The 16,773-nt window shown below is 36.1% G+C and overlaps 1 protein-coding gene across 3 annotated transcripts in view; it reads left to right on the top strand.

Moving 5' to 3' along the window:
- Positions 1–16,773, top strand: part of DOK6 (docking protein 6) — a 448,200-nt gene that overhangs the window by 287,250 nt on the left and 144,177 nt on the right. For all 3 annotated transcript variants that reach the window (NM_152721.6, XM_017025610.2, XM_017025611.2), the window contains one exon: positions 10,267–10,456. In NM_152721.6, the coding sequence (NP_689934.2) occupies positions 10,267–10,456 (190 nt within the window). The remainder of the gene's footprint in view (positions 1–10,266; positions 10,457–16,773) is intronic.

Raw genomic sequence — 16,773 nt, forward strand, 5'->3', positions numbered from 1 at the left:
ATACACCAAGCCCCCACACTGGAAACTAAATGTTTCTGAGAGAAGTTTTAAAAGATCTAGGTAAATGAAATGATAAACCACTTTTATGATTGGAACACTCAATATCATTAAGATATCAGTCTTCAGAGATTGATCTGTAAATCCAACATAATCCCAGTAAACCAGACATGTTTCTTTCTAGAACTTGACAAGTCAATTTTAGATGAATTTAGAAGGCAAAAGACCAACACGAGCCAAATAATCTTGAAAAGGAAAAGCCAAGTTGAAACCGGTGTCTTTCCTAATTATAGCACTTATTATAAGTGATAACAATTAGGACAAAGGCTACAGAGATCCAGGGAACAGAACAGACAGAAGAAATAGACACACACATATGTAGACAAATAGGTTGTTGCTGCTGTTTGAGTCAGAGTCTCGCTCTATTGCCCAGGCTGGAGTGCAGTGGTGCAATCTCGGCTCACTGCAACCTCCGCCTCCTGGGTTCAAGTGATTCTCTTGCCTCAGTCTCCCGAGCAGCTGGGATTGCAGGCACCCCCCATCACACCCGGCTATTTTTGTATTTTTAGTAGAGATGGGGTTTCGCCATGTTGGCCAGGCTGGTCTCGAACTCTTGACCTCAAATGATCCACCCACCTCAACCTCCCAAAGCAAGGACAATACTCCTTTTCATAAGCTTATTAGCCATTTTAATGAGAATAGTAAAACATCTGAAAATAAGTTATTCTAGAATGACTGGATATCTGTGTGAAATGATGAACCTGAACCCCTATGCACACCACAGTTAAACATCAATTTAAGATGGATGCAACTTAGAGATATATAAAGATTTCTTATATAAAACGCTGGAAACACAAACTATAAAAAGAAATGTTGAACTTCATCAAAACTCAAACTATTGCTCATCAAGAAAGTGCCATCAAAAAATTAAAAATAAAAAGGGAAGTGACAGATGGAATCAAGTCATGATGTGCGGGTATCAGTCCACAAGAACCTTGTAGAGAATAAGCAAAACTAACCTAAGAGTGTTAGAAATCAGATCAGTGGTGGTTCTGAGGGCCTGGACAACTGAAAAGTGGTGTAAGATAACTCTCTGTGGGGACAGAAGCATTACATGTCTTGCTGTGCCTTTGTCAAAACTAACAGAACATTATACGTAAGATATGAACATTCCATTATATTTCACAATATAGTTCACTCTTTCAAGAATGAAGGACTTATTACAAAAGTTAAAGAAAATTGTTTTCTAAATAATGTAAACAAAACCAATGAAAATCTGAGATGAAGTATTTGTCATAAACATCTAAAGAAAAGTTTCCAATATACAGAATTCTCACAATCAGGAAAACAAACAGTAGATGTAATTTTTGATAAATCTGGCAAAAGACACTTATAATGACTCGCTCTATATGTATTTTGAATATTTATTGGTAAGGGATTTCTGGAAAGCAATTTGGCAATGTGTGATTCTTATAAGAGTTTATAGTATTTGCTCCAGTGATTCAGATTTTAGTACTCAATGTAAGTTTATAATCAAAGATATTAAAAATTATCTAAAATTTATATAGGAGAATATAGTACAGTAAACTCTATGAACCAATATAAAAGGACTGAATTATTCAGCAAATTGAGCTAAAAATTGGTTATTTTATTGCATCTTAATTTACATTAGATTAAAATTGGCTTACTTTTAATATTCGTTAAACAGATAATTTAAATAAATTATAGCACAGCTATATAGTGTAATATTATGCATTTCTTAAAAATTGTAGCACCTTAAAATATTTAATAGTGTCTGAAAATGCTTGTAAGTGGAATATATAGGTTAAATACTTTCAGTATAATAATTGTGTGTGAATATTTTTGTATATTATGATACAGTATAACAGAAATCTCTAAGGTTTAACAGTTAAATTTTTAATTTTTAAAAATAATTTTCCATATTTGCTGCCATGAACATGCTTTACTTGGAAATGCAGATAAAATCCATGCAATAGTCAATTTTTGTAAAGCAAAAAAGAAATTTCTGGGGAATTTTAAAAAGATACTGTGGAATTTTTTTTTTTTAAGTACTGCTGATTGTTCAAGAAATGTAAGCATTCCAATTCACAGTGATCTTCGACACTGAGCAGATGGCACCTAGCAACTAAATCTATTGCTATTTACACATAATAATAAAATAAATTTTGATGAGTTTTAGTTCTGTGGTGGAGATGGAGTCACAATTTCTGAAGAGTTCTACAAATTTTGACAAGCATAAATCATGTTTTGTTTATTCGTGGTTTAATTGTATTATACAGATCTAAGGATGGGTCTAAATGTGTAAACATCCGCTTTTTCAGTGTGGTTTCAGCTTCTAAAGCTGCTAGAATTGAAGAGTGACCACTGCAATAATCGTCTATTATAGAAATTTTGGAGATAAGATTATAAAGAACAGAATGATCTTGAAATGTCTCATCTTCTGTGTAATATCTGGCTCTATTTAGTTCCTTTAGCATTTCAAGTAACTATTAAGAAAAAAACAAAGCAGACTGTTTAAACAATGGGATGAATCTAGATTCCAAATTCATATGAAACTCAATAATAAATCCCAAGCATTAGTCCAGTTTTTCTAATACCAGATTCTTGAGGACTTACTCATCAACACTTAATATTAGACTAATGTCTCTGGTCTTTTGCCTAAATACCATTTAGTAGTTTTGGATTCTTACTAAAATTTCATGTTTTAATTGGTATGTAAAAAGTGTTAAAGAATATAGAATTGGGCTGGGCATGGTGGCTCACACCTGTAATCCCAGCACTTTGGGAGGCCGAGACAGGAAGATCATCTGAGGCCAGGAGTTCAAGACCAGCCTGTCCAACATGGAGAAACTCACCCTGTCTCTACTAAAAATTCAAACATTAGCTGGGCATAGTGACAGGTGACTGTAATCCCAGCTACTCTGGAGTCTGAGGGAGGAGAATCACTGCCTCAGGAGGCGGAGGTTGCAGTGAGCCAAGATCGTACCATTGCACTCCAGCCCGGGCGACAAGAGCGAAACTCTGTCTCAAAATAAATAAATAAATAAATAAATAAATAAATAAATAAATAAATAAAAATATAGAATTGGACTTTCTTGTTGTCTCTGTATTGTGGCCACAGAGCTGTGGATAGTGGGTGAAAAGAACCAAGAAGTGTTAAGAGAGACATAAAGATAATTCATTGAAAGTCTTTTATAGGAGAAGGGCAGAAAGGAGAGAATATTCACCCCTCTCAAGCCCCATGAAAGAGGAAGGGCAAGAGAACTACTTGTAGAATTTGGGTTGTTTGTCAGGAGGACAGACTGGCTTCTCACCTCACCCATGCTGGTAGAACTGTAGAATCAAGTAGTGCTACCCAAGCTGGTACCTGGGCAGTGTTCAAGAGAGTTTGGGGAAGAACCTGAGTTTGGGGAAGTAGTGGTTTCAGTTTTCACCATGGTGAACCTGAGGTTAGGATGCAAGATGGGTCTGAAGCTGTTTGTGATAGCCAAACAAGGAGAATGGATCAGCAACTGGACAAGATACACTGCCACATTCAGTGGGACAAGTGCACACTTTATAGTTAGCTGAGCTTGATTCATCTTGAAAACACCCACACCAGGACAACTCTTGCCTGTGAGAAGGAGCTCCAGCTGAAAGATGATAAAGGTGGAATGCAGAAAATAGAAGCTAAGGGTAATAGGCTCCATGTCTAATCAAGGCACCTCCCCTTCAGGGAGCAGGGGAGATATCTGAGGTGTTGGGATGGTTTTTCTGAGGTGTTGGGATGGTTCTTAGGAACATACCATATGCCTCAAAGAGAGCGGTAGCATTTGAATACATCTTGTCATTAAGAATTCAAAAGTAAAGAAGAATTTTCAATAGTAACTATTTAGAAGGAATTTACCCCCTTTTCTTTTCATTATTCTTACCCTGGAAAAGTCAAAAGCAAAAGAAAGTGGGGCGGTGGGGAGTCACCGTGGAAAGACGGTGATGGAACAAGCAGGAAAGAGCATATTCTATCTTTCTCATTCTCATTGCTGGACTCTCAGTAATGGACTTGACCTGAAAGAAGAGGAGAAACTTCCATTTATTTGAGACTTTAAAATTATCAATTACACCAGTCATCTCATCTGAGACATAAAGTTGACAATATCCTTATGGGCAATAGTGAATTAAACACTAATCTCTGCCTGAGATACCGCCAGGGGCAAGAAGTGGAAATTTCATAGTTGTGTGAGAGCAGGGTTGGAAGAAAAACCATTTTCCTAAATTACATCCTACTAAATCTGGGTCTTTTAATGAATTAGCTACAGTAACAGATTTAACCTAAACAATGTCTTCCATAAATACTGGGGTTTTTATCACGTGATATTTTGAAACAAATTTGAAGCCTCCTGCCATCAGAGAATCTCAGTTAAATCTTTAAAGTTATTTTGACCAGTTGATTGTATATAGAAGTGAGTCTTAACTTTATGGAATCACTCGTTAATAAAAACAATGAAGTGAAATTCTCCTATTTAGAGTTGACATTTGCCATTTATGCTCAGATAGGCCCAGGCCATCCAAGTTTTGCCTGTGACTCTAGTTATGTACATTTATGGGAAAAACAATAGATGGATATAAACTACAGCAGAATGAAAAAATATGTAAACAAATTATCCAATACTTACAGCTATTTTAAATCATTATATAACCAGTTTACAGCTACTGTATACATTTATGTAAGTATTAATTTTATTTATGTTAACTTAATAATGCCTAGATATTTTAATTAATAAATTTTAACAAATATTTAAGCCTCATGAGGGATAAAGGTTCAATTTTACACAAGGAATTGTTTACAGCCTAAATCATTATGTCACCAATGATCTAAATCAAGAATGCCTTTCCTTTTGTACAGTTTCTTCTTTTGAGCCATTTTTGGCTTTTAAGAGGAAGACAAGCTAAAAGTATAAGGAGTTCACATGTACTTACTTAGCTGAAGATATTGTTAGATTTAACTCCTATCTGTGGAAAACCTAATGAGTTAATATTTATACATCTCTTGGTTTCTGAATATTTAGGTATAATACTTTGTTCCATGTTCCATTGTTTTCTTTTGACCCAACCTTCAAACCCATGACTTCTGAAGCAGAGGAAGAAATAGAATACAGTGGAAAAAAGTCTTCTTTGAAGAAAAAAAAAAAAAAAAAAAGAATCTATTGGCTTCCAGTAGACATTTTTCAAATTTCTTCTAACTAACATACAAAAATGCATTTTATGTGTATGCAGTCACAATGCACTGAATGTTCACCATGTGCTAGATGCACACTTATTTAATACATAAATTCCAAAAGCCTCTTTTTATATATATATTTCTACTTAGTATAAGGGAAATTTAGCTGAACAGACGTCTGTTTTCCTGTACGGTTCTCCATTAAACATAGTTTTCCATCTGTATTCTTACAAAAGGGAAATTATCAAGGGGTTGTTTGAAGGACTTCTCACCCGTTTGTTTTCTGTGTGTTACTTCTTGTCAGAAATCCCCATCTCTGATCCTTTGCTTCTCCAGGCAACTGCGAGATCCACTTACCTCCACCTGCCAGTCTCAGACTCACAGCTATACTTGGATTTGTTCCTGCATAAAATAGATCTATTTAGGCCGGGCGCGGTGGTTCACGCCTGTAATCCCAGCAATTTAGGAGGCAGAGGCGGGCGGATCATGAGGTCAGGAGATCGAGACCATCCTGGCTAACACAGTGAAACCCCGCCTCTACTAAAAATACAAAAAAATTAGCCGGGCGTGGTGGCGGGCGCCTGTAGTCCCAGCTACTCGGGAGGCTGAGGCAGGAGAATGGCGTGAACCCGGGAGGCGGAGCTTGCAGCGAGCCGAGATCCCGCCACCGCACTCCAGCCTGGGCGACAGAGCGAGACTCCGTGTCAAAAAAAAAAAAAAAAAAAAAAAAAAAAAAAATTGATCTATTTAAAAACTCACTGGCTGACAGGGAAGATTTCAGTTCTTCTCGGCACTGATGACCCATTCAGTCCCCTCTCGTTCCACCTGGAGCCTTGCTGCCCCTTTTCCCTGAGTACAGTCACCCTGTCTTGCCAGACCTTGATCTATTCAATTCGTCTAAGCCTTGTTTTGTAGCCCTGTCTAGACTCTCGTAGTTGCAGCCTTACCCCTGTATCTCAGGCCTTCCCTGGGCATGGTCTATTCCTTTGGACCTCATCATTCAGCCCTAGTGAAAAAGATGCCCTTGTAAACATAATTGCAGATTCAATACTAGCATCTTTGTTGGATGCAATATTTATATTATAATAAAATTATACACTTTATTATAGCATAATTATATATTTATAATATTTAATAAATATTCCACCCTTGGTTTTTGTTTCAACCATTTAAAATAAAATTATATTTTCTCACATATTAGCTAATATGGGACTCTAAATTTTACCAACATACAAATTCACAGGCAATGTGTTTGGGACTTTTTAACTCTGTAGTTTTAAATCTTATATGAATGAATACATTTTGATTTGGTATTTGTTTCTACATAACCTTTTCAAAAATTTGTTTTTCCATACGTTCAGCAGCCTTCACAGATTAGCAGAATATTTATGTTTTAGGATATTATTATCATTATTTAAACAATTAGTTTCCTTTTCAGTACTTTTGGGTATTTGGGAATGGGTTTAGTTTTCTTTAATAATGTTTTCTTGTTGTTGTCAATCATCTGATAAGGAAAATAGTTGGAATACACATATCTTGATAAATTGTAAACCATCTTCCATGTATCTTTCTTTCTATGCTCCTGTCTCTTGTTTTGTTCCAATTAGCCTAAGAACTCTTTCTTACAAAATCAGACATGAATCAGTTGAGATGGGATTAATTTATTTGGGCAGATATTAGATAACACTTTTGAAAAAAGCAAGTGTTCTTTTGTTCTGCTGGTACATGGCATCATTTTCCAAAGTCATTCCTCATGATTTCTCTAATACTGCTACTTCCCTGGCAATATTTTAAAGTGAGTTTCACAAATCAACAGTTCTCAAAGTGTGGTCCGCAGAGAAGCAGTGTCAACATCTCTTAGGAATAAACAGAAAATGTAAATTATCTGGCTCCAGCCCAGCCCTATTGTACCAGAAATGATAAGATTGGAGGGGGCCCAGCATTCTGTGTTTCAACAAAGCCTCCAGGTAATTTTAGCACACTGAAGTCTGAAAAACCAGTGGTATAGGAAATAAAAACCGAACATGGGTTCTTAAATTTAAAAAGCAGCATAATTAGAGAGTGATTTAAAACGCCTGCTTGATAGAATTGTTTCACAAAGATAAACATTTTTTAAAAATCATTTTAATGGAGCCAATTTTAACCACTCCATTTTGAAATGGTCTTTCTAGCAAAGCCTTAACAAATTTTTCAGTAAAACAAAGTGTATTATGCTACTAAGAGAATACACTGATACAGTCACTGAAAAGGCAGAAAGCTTCCTTCGTCATTATAACGGAATTCGGTTAAGTATAGTTAGGTAACATAATGTGCTGCCTTCATCTTTTTGTGCCTAGTTTTCTGCTGGATTAAATTTGTTCACTTTTTAATTGAATCTGAAATTCTTAGAAATTAGCTGTTAGGAGAGAATAGATTTTGAATATTTGAAAATTGAAAATATAAATATAATCTTAGCATAATGTCTTTCTAAAGTTGCAAGAAATAGCATCCAAAGGAAGACTGGAGAGTTCTAAACCACAACAAGAAGGGTTGACTTGAGTTGCTGGGTAAAAAAGTATGTGAGGACAGGGAAAACAGAAGACAGGCAAGAGGGTAGAGGCACCACGGGTAAATTTCACCTGCTGGTATTGACTAGAGATGGCCCTGGAAAAACTCCCTTAGGGCAAGTTGTCCAGTTGCTTTTTTTTAAATGGGCCTTGATGATATACATAGCGATAGAGACAGAGACGGAGACAGAGATAGAGATACATAGAGCCCTATATCATGTGAATCTTATTAAATTTACTTACTTGATTTTTTTCAGCTTTCTCCAGTGTCCAGTGTGATGCTTGTACTCTCTCCTTGCTTATTTTTCCTAAGCTCTATCTGCTAACATTTGAGCACACAAACATTTCAGTGAAAATGTGATGGTCCTTCTGGGTCCACTGTTACAGGTCATGTTTCATGTACCATCCACTGGAAGGACACTCAATGTCAAGATCTTTTTTTAAACATTCTATGTTTTTAACTATCAAACTATGGGCATGAACATCAAGGGTCAATACAGCCATAAGCAACAATAATACTGGTTAATGATGTTTACTTCAATATTTTGGAAGAAATGTTATTTAGTGGCATTTTGGCAATTATTTTTTCGGTTGCTAATTCTGACTCTGAAATTGATGGAAAGGAAAAAATGTAAAGAAATGTTTTACTTTCCGTTTCTATAACAATATTTTCTCTATGCACAACAGGTACCACTGACATATGATTAATTCCAAATATAGGAGCTGAAATTTATCAAAAGCTTCTTGGCCAAAGAAGAGAAGATTGATGTTCGGGCCTTGTGTATATTCCTGTGTAAAACCTTTGGGTCCAAGTTTCATTTATTGTTTTATATGAGATCATGCCCCCTTTAATTTACTACTAATCCCATTGGAGTGTGAATTATGATGGGAATGTGACTGATGTGTTTAATACTAAATGTTAATACTTCAGTTGGTTGCACATAAGAATTTTAAGCTATTGGGAATATGTATATATTTGGGCTTTTCACTGCAGATAATTAATGAGGCAATGTTCTTTCTTCAGCTTTTAGCCATAGAATTGATTGCAATTTGTCGTTTCTTAGGAAATGAATGTGAAATCCATACACATATTAGTTTCATGGGTCAATAATCTAAAAGACTGAATTATTAGATAAGCTATTGTCCAAAATATCAAGACACATGAGTATAAATATTGTTTTTATGGCTAGTTAATGTTAAGCTATCATGGTTATGTTAATTTGTAATTCAAATATTTTTTTTGGCATCAGAGAATCCTTACTAAGTAAAATATCTGCCAGAGAGAAGAATCTTTCTATTATACAATTTCAGCTCAGTACCAGCAAACATGTAGCATTTAAGATTATGCTGTTATGATGTATAATAGTACATTCCTAAACATATCAATCATTTTCCATCTGCAGCTGCACTATTTCATCTCTCAAACTAATTAATTCAACAGCACTGACTTTAAAGCACTATTCACAATTAAATCCTAACCCACAGAGGTATATCTGCCAGTAATTCTTAAAGTTTTTCTTATGACTTTTTTTGTAATTCTTCAATTCTTGCATCTCATAATTCATCATGGCATAGATGTATTTTATTCATACAGTTATCAAATATTTATTGGACACAATGTAAATCAAAGATATGGTGCTAGGAACTAGGGATACTTTATAGAGTATGTTGTAAGGCATACCAAGTTCTTTTTACTTCCTGGAACTTGCAAACTAATCTTATTTTTCAAAAAAAAAAATCTATTTAATGCATCTAAATGGGAATCAAAGGCAGCATAACTTTGCAATAGCCTTTAAGAAACACAGACAGACAGTTACAAAGTAAGGTTTGGAATCATTGCCTAATAATATTTTCAGCCATAGGATATCCAGGAATGAAAAAAGTTAAGTATTTTTATTTTGCTTACCAAAGCAATGTCTTAAGTTCTGCGGAAGGCTGTAATGAATATCTGCAATTATCATATGCTAAATTTGACCATGACTACAATTTGTTTTGAGATACAAACTAAATGATTTTTCCAGTGCTTAAGTAGTTAGTGAGTCAGTCTGAGGGTGCATTAAATACTTCACATCAACAAAGGTAAAAATCAAATAAGATCTTGCCTAAGGAGAGCAAATAAGACATCCCTCGCTGGAATCGTATCTGTGATATCCACTTAGATTGTGTGAAGGAACAGACCATAAGCACAATTTGGGCAGAGACTCCCTTAACTTTTGCCCTTATTTTTCCATTGTACAATTTAACTACTTAATCCTCACCATAGACAATACATGCAATGAAAAGTCGTTGAGTGAATGAATGAATTAATGATTCAGAACACTTTAATGAACTCCTTTTCTCATACAAATTTTGAAATATGTCATGTTCTACAATGTTTATCCATATCACCTAGGGAGGATGTGGTCATGTTTCCTGCAGTCTGTAGATAAACAAATTAATATCGTATGGCCATAGACACTCACACCTCTTTTCACTTAACCTTCTCCATTCTTCGTCTCTTCACAGAGAGATTCAACGTGTATCTTATGCCTACACCAAACCTGGATATTTATGGTGAATGCACAATGCAGATCACTCATGAAAATATCTATCTCTGGGATATCCACAATGCCAAGGTCAAACTGGTGATGTGGCCTCTCAGCTCACTGAGGAGATACGGTCGGGACTCAACGTGGTTCACGTTTGAGTCAGGAAGGTAAGATCTAGTGCAGCAGCCAAGTGCAGGAGTTGTCTGTATAACAGAGTCTGTATAACAGAGTCCTGAAAGAGAGTGCTGTCCATCATTGCCCCCAGTGAGCACTGTTTTCATTCAGGGTAAAAGTTACCAAATACATAATTTCTTCAGATTCTTAATAACATGAATACAATTCTGTTAGTTTTTTGGCAGGCTAATTACCCCATTCAAAATAATTTCAGTTTCTTACACTACCATCAAACTCAAACTGGTTTTGTAATTATTTTAATAATGTAATATGTTTTGCAAGATTATTACAATACTATATTTTCGGTGTGCCTGTATGCAAAAGGACCTCCATAAAATTAAAGGCAGCATGTCCTTGCTTGCATTGTTTTTGTGAGTGTTTTTTAATAAGCAAACAATCTTTTTTTAAAGTTTTAAATAAATTTAAATATTGCTTTTAGGCAAATATACTGCTTTCTTGATCACAGCATATGGTTGGAATCCATAAGGGTCTGAAATGAATCCTTGATTCACAATCATTATTAATAAACACGGATTTAGACATAAACTACAACCAACCAAATCATTGTCTTTATGCTATGACCCCATTGTAGTATTGTCACACATCCAAGATAAGACTTAGGTTTGGGGATTTTATATGAGGAGATGTTTAATGCTTCCATCTTCACCCAGGGTACATGATTTATCACATTCTTAAAATGAATTCATGGCCTTATAAGGCAATTATAGTGAAGTTTTATTGCATTTGATATAATATTTTTAAGTTTATAACTTTCTTCTTAAAAACTGCTAAATATTTACTCAATGTCACATTCTAATAATATCTATCTAGCCAGCTAGGGTAGGTCCCATGTCTCTTAAAATTTTAAGGAGGGAAAAAACAAACAAAAAACCTGAGCTGGAGTAATTTTACCAGTCTGGGGCCCTTTTGCACTACAGTAATATTAAAGTCTCTACCACACTGATTTCTCTGAAAAGCATTAGATCCTGTGTTTACTTAGTAGTTATGAGCTTGTTCAACTATTTCTGTCTACCTAGATATTGAGAGTGCAATAGTGTAATCACATTCCGATAGCCATTGGGAAATACAAATTCTAATAAGAAAATGAATATTTTTAAGATATGTTTACTATTTTAAAAATTATGACTATGAAAATGAGTTGACATGTTTTAGAGATTCACTGACCTAAAATCTATGATGCACCTTATTTTTTTACTGGCTTTAAAAAGGTAGTATATTAATCCATTTTCACACGCTGATAAAGACATACCCAAGACTGGGCAATTCACCAAAGGAAGAGGTTTAATGGACTCACAGTCCCACGTGGCTAAGGAGGCCTCACAGTCATGGCAGAAGGAGAAAGACACATCTCACATGGCAGCAGACGAGAGAAGAGAATGAAGCCAAGTGAAAGGGGTTTCCCCTTATCAAAACATCAGATCTCGTGAGACTTATTAACTACCATCAGAACAGCATGGGAGGAACTGCCCCCATGATTCAGTTATCTCCCACTGGGTCACTCCAACAACACGTGGGAATTTTGGGAGCTACAATTCAAGATGAGATTTGGGTGGGGACAGAGTCAAACCATATCAGTTAGTTTTACATATATATACATATATATATATATATATGAATTGAATGTTGTTGTTAAGGTTTTGTCGGGGTTGGGGTTTTGTTTTCGTTTTTGCATCATTTACCAGCACTACCTCCAGGATCCCTTCCCTTGGATCCTTCTAGATATACCTATCTTCCTCTTTCTATGGAAAACAATTTAACTATTTTGTCTGTTACAACGTTTCAATAGACTTCCACTCAAAATTTTAAATAACAAGTCATTTTCTTTCATGAAGAATGGTTATTCAGAATTTTCACTCCATTTATACCTGTCCACATTAGTTTTTTAAGATCTTTCTATTTCATAGAGGAATTTGGTATCTATTTTTTTCCCTCTGTTTATTTCCTTGTCTTTGAGATTAGAGATCTGTCCTTTGGACACAGTTCATTTGTGTGTTTCTCCTTCTCTGAATTTTGGGTGTCATTTGCTCTTTAGTGACTGAGAAATTGTCCATAATTTTGTGCATCTGTTTTGTAAATTCCAGATGACTTCACTGTTGTTAAAATGAGCCAGTGGGGGAAGGTCTTGTCCATACTTGATCTAGAGAAATAAAAGTGGGACATTGTGTTCCCTGGGTCTGGACTGATGGGGTCACTGGTGATGAGACTGGGGACAATTTAGAGGGCAGATTGGCAGGTAAGGCATGGCCAGTCATGCTAGCAAACCAAAGCCAAAGGCCAACACTTTCTAGGTTTTATTAGCTCATTGCCCAAGGCATATCACTTGGTATAAATTTTAGCTATTTATTTATACTACTATATGCACTAATAGTAGTATTAGTACAAATAATACATATGAAAATAATACAATTGGATATGTCAAAATACTTTTTTCATTGACACACTTTTTCAAATGCATTGTTAAATTCTGCTGTAAAACTGACATGTAGACATGAACAGTAGGAATGGATATACATCGTTTATTCTGGAGAAGCATCCTTCAGTCACCCTTGTAATTATAATTATATGCCATAAGTCTCAAGGAGCACTCACCTAGTGTGGGGCAGAAGGAGAACAAGGACCAGGAAACTCTCCATGGTAATCATCCTCAGCGCAGCATGGCGCCCAGGAGATGTATTCATAGTCTCACATCAGCTCGGAGCAATTGCTCTTTTACCATAAGGATCATAACTTTGCATTTTAAAGGTAGAAACAACCAATTTGCCATGCAAGCATATTTTCTCAAGATAATCACAAAAAAATACCAGACCTTCAGAGGAAGTGATAAGATTCATGATTATGTACAATTTTATCCTGTGAAAGACAAAACTCCTTTATTTAACTGCTGACTTGACATTTTTACTTCATGTTACCTCATAAATATTGTAAGCAAAAATCAAGATGAGTGAAAATGCCTGCATGGCCAAAATTCAGGCGAACCCCTGATCTTTTGTATGAATTATTTTTCAAAAACTAAGCACCCATATTCAGCATGATGCTTACTAGTAGAAAATTGGTGCTTAAAATATGTGTCTCACTAACTTTGATAATATTGCTTCCATTTAGAAACCTGGGAAAAACCCAGTTACTAATTTTTAACAATTAGAAATGCAAAATAATACTTAAATATTGCAATATAGTTATTATGAAAAGGTGGTTAGTGGTAGCAAATGTTATATGTCATACAATTAAGGATTCTGTGATGTCATAGGTAGGCTTAATTTATTCCTAAACCTTCGTTGGTCAGGGATGCAAAGAGAAAGAATCTTTTCTCTAATGCATAACCAAGTGGTTAAGAGGAAAGATAAAACAGAAAGTTCTTAAATATGATACAAAAGCATAAAAATATAATTAATACATAATAAATATGAATTATGTTATATACACTATAAGGTCTAAGTTAGTTAAGGAATTTCTCACATATGGACTCCAACATTTCTGTACTAACCCAGAGTTATCAATGCCCTTCTGGGTTGGTTTTTTTTTTTTTTTTTTTTAAATATCATTTGATTTGCCATCAAGAGTGTTAGTGGTACACATATCTTCATAAAAGAGTGTACTGCTGGGACTCTAAGATTTTCTTCTGAACTACTGATATCTGTCCTGCAAGTTTTTTATGCTTGTTGGTGCAAAGTTTATCTACCAGAAGGTGTACACAGTAGGTTTTTAGACAACAAGGTCTCGTGTTTCTCTTTCAAATGGTCCTAAAACATTTCTTGACTGAAACATTGAAGAGTTGCAATTAACTAAAATATAGTCAAACACAAGACATGAAGTGCCAACATTGCACAGAGCTTCAATTGAAGTGAGGAAATCCTGAGCCTGTACACACAGGCAACAGCAGCCACATCACTACCACCACTTGGCAGCCATCATTTGGAGGCTGCTGTTCCATAGACGATGTCATAACAAAATATACCCCAATTTCAGAAATACTAAAATGTAAAAACATGTGCTTCTGTTGAATGAAGGAATTAATCAATGAATGGCTTCATTGTTTGAATAAAGCCAGCTGGGGGTGGTATATCCTGGGATACAGAAACCTATGAGTGAATGTGGTGACGTTTCACAAATCATGGGAGGAGATCAAACCAGAACTTCACAGCTCTCTTGACTTTATCTTCTTGATTCCAGAAATCATTCTTGATTTAATGACTATGAATGAAGTTTAGGAACTTTCTGAATGAGAATAAAAGAAGCCTAAAAGGCGACCAAAACTGTCATTGTGATTACTACAGACCAATTAGTAAAAAGCAATTCACGTTAAAGTATGTGTGGGTTCAATAAAAATGTATTGAACTTTAAACTTAATTGAGCAATAACTAAGATCAGAGTCTCCATTTCTCAATAAAAACAGTTTCCTAAGTCATTTAATTAATGCTCTCTCCGAGGGGGAAAAAAAAAAAGCAGACCTGGTATTATCATAGCAAGAGATTTACCAGATTAGATACACAGAAGGAAAAGGCACTAGGTTCCTAAACACTTTGTCTTGGCATTATCTCTTTGGAATTAAAGCAAGGGTTTATATAGACCTATGATTTTAAAACATTGAAAACATCCCTGATGCAAATTTTTTTCATGGAGGCCTTTGCTACTCTATACTTTGTAATTAAAACCCAATTAGATATTATGATTTAAATCTTTTTGTGGCACCAGAAACCTCATTTATTCTCTGGGCTACTTTATTTCATTTATCGAACACTATGGTAAGAACTAAAGAAACAAAAATAGGTAACACATAGTCCCTTCCCTTAATGAGCACATAGTGTACTTGGTAAGATAGATCAACTAATGATTTCAATATAATATAGGAATTGTAATAAAATACATCCCAGGAGGGTTGTGTATTAGGAACATAGGTTAAGTTGTATCATTTTAAAAACATTAATGATGTCAACCCCCATTCTCAATAGCTCAATACAACAAAGATTTATTTCCCACTCAAGCTATGCCTGATGCAGGCTTGGACAGATCACCAGGGCACCTGGATTCAGAAACCTAGGATGCTGCAATCTTGTGACTCAGACATCTTCATGCTAACCTACCTCATTGCCATGCATAGCAGGGGAAGAAGGTGGGAACATTCTCCAACAAGCATACTATGGACTCAATTGTTTCTCCCCAAAATTCATATGTTGAAACCCTAAACCCCAAACTTCTTATATCTTTATGACAAGAGCCAGAGATGATAGGTCCTTTATAGATGGAATTAAAGTTAAATGAAGTAATAAGGGTGGGGTCCTAATCTGATTGATAGGATCGGTGGCTTTATAAGAAGGAGAAAGAAACCTCTCAGTCCCTCTTCTCTGCCATGCGGAGGAAAGACCTCAAGAAGGTGACCATTTCCAAACCAGGAAGAAAGCCCTCACCAGAACCCAACCATGCTGGCACCCTGATCTCAGACTCCAGCCTCCAGAGTGAGAAAATTAATTTCCGTTGTTTAAGTCACCCACTCTGTGTCATGTTTTTCTTATGGCAGCCTGCGCTAATACAAAACATTTAAATACTTTAGTACAGTGGTAATGCATGTTATTTCTATTAATAGCCCACCACCCAGAAGGTGGCCTCCACAGCCCCCCCACCCCACATCTGCGAGGGGACAAGTAGGGAGTATGTGGAATATTTGGAAAGTATATTGTCTCTGCCACAGTCATATCTTCTGATGAGCGAAGATCCCTTTTCTCTCTTCTTCCTACACACTCAATTGTTCCTTAAGGGAAACAATCCAAAAAGCAATCCAGCAAGCCACTGATTATAGCTCAAAGTCCAGAGTCTGCAGGCGATTTGTAGCAGTGTGTACATCAGGTCCAGATATGACTTTTTTTTTTTTTTTTTTTTGGAGACGGAGCCTTGCTCTGTCGCCCAGGCTGGAGTGCAGTGGCGCAATCTCGGCTCACTGCAAGCTCCGCCTCCTGGGTTCACTCCATTCTCCTGCCTCAGACTCCTGAGTAGCTGGGACTACAGGCGCCCGCCACCATGCCCAGCTAATTTTTTTGTATTTTTACTAGAGACGGGGTTTCACCGTGTTAGCCAAGATGGTCTCCATCTCCTGACTTCGTGATCCACTTGCCTCGGCCTCCCAAAGTGCTGGGATTACAGGCGTGAGCCACCATGCTAGGCCGATATGACTTCTTATAGTTCCAAAAGAATGATCCAGAAAAAGATGCTTTTTTTCCCCCCTCTACCCACCCTGGCCCAAGGAACAGTGGCTTAAGAGAGGTGGGATGCCTGCCCCTGCAAACACTCCCATTCA

The sequence above is a fragment of the Homo sapiens genome, chromosome 18 (genome assembly GCF_000001405.40).
Source record: "Homo sapiens chromosome 18, GRCh38.p14 Primary Assembly".
NCBI lineage: Eukaryota > Metazoa > Chordata > Mammalia > Primates > Hominidae > Homo > Homo sapiens.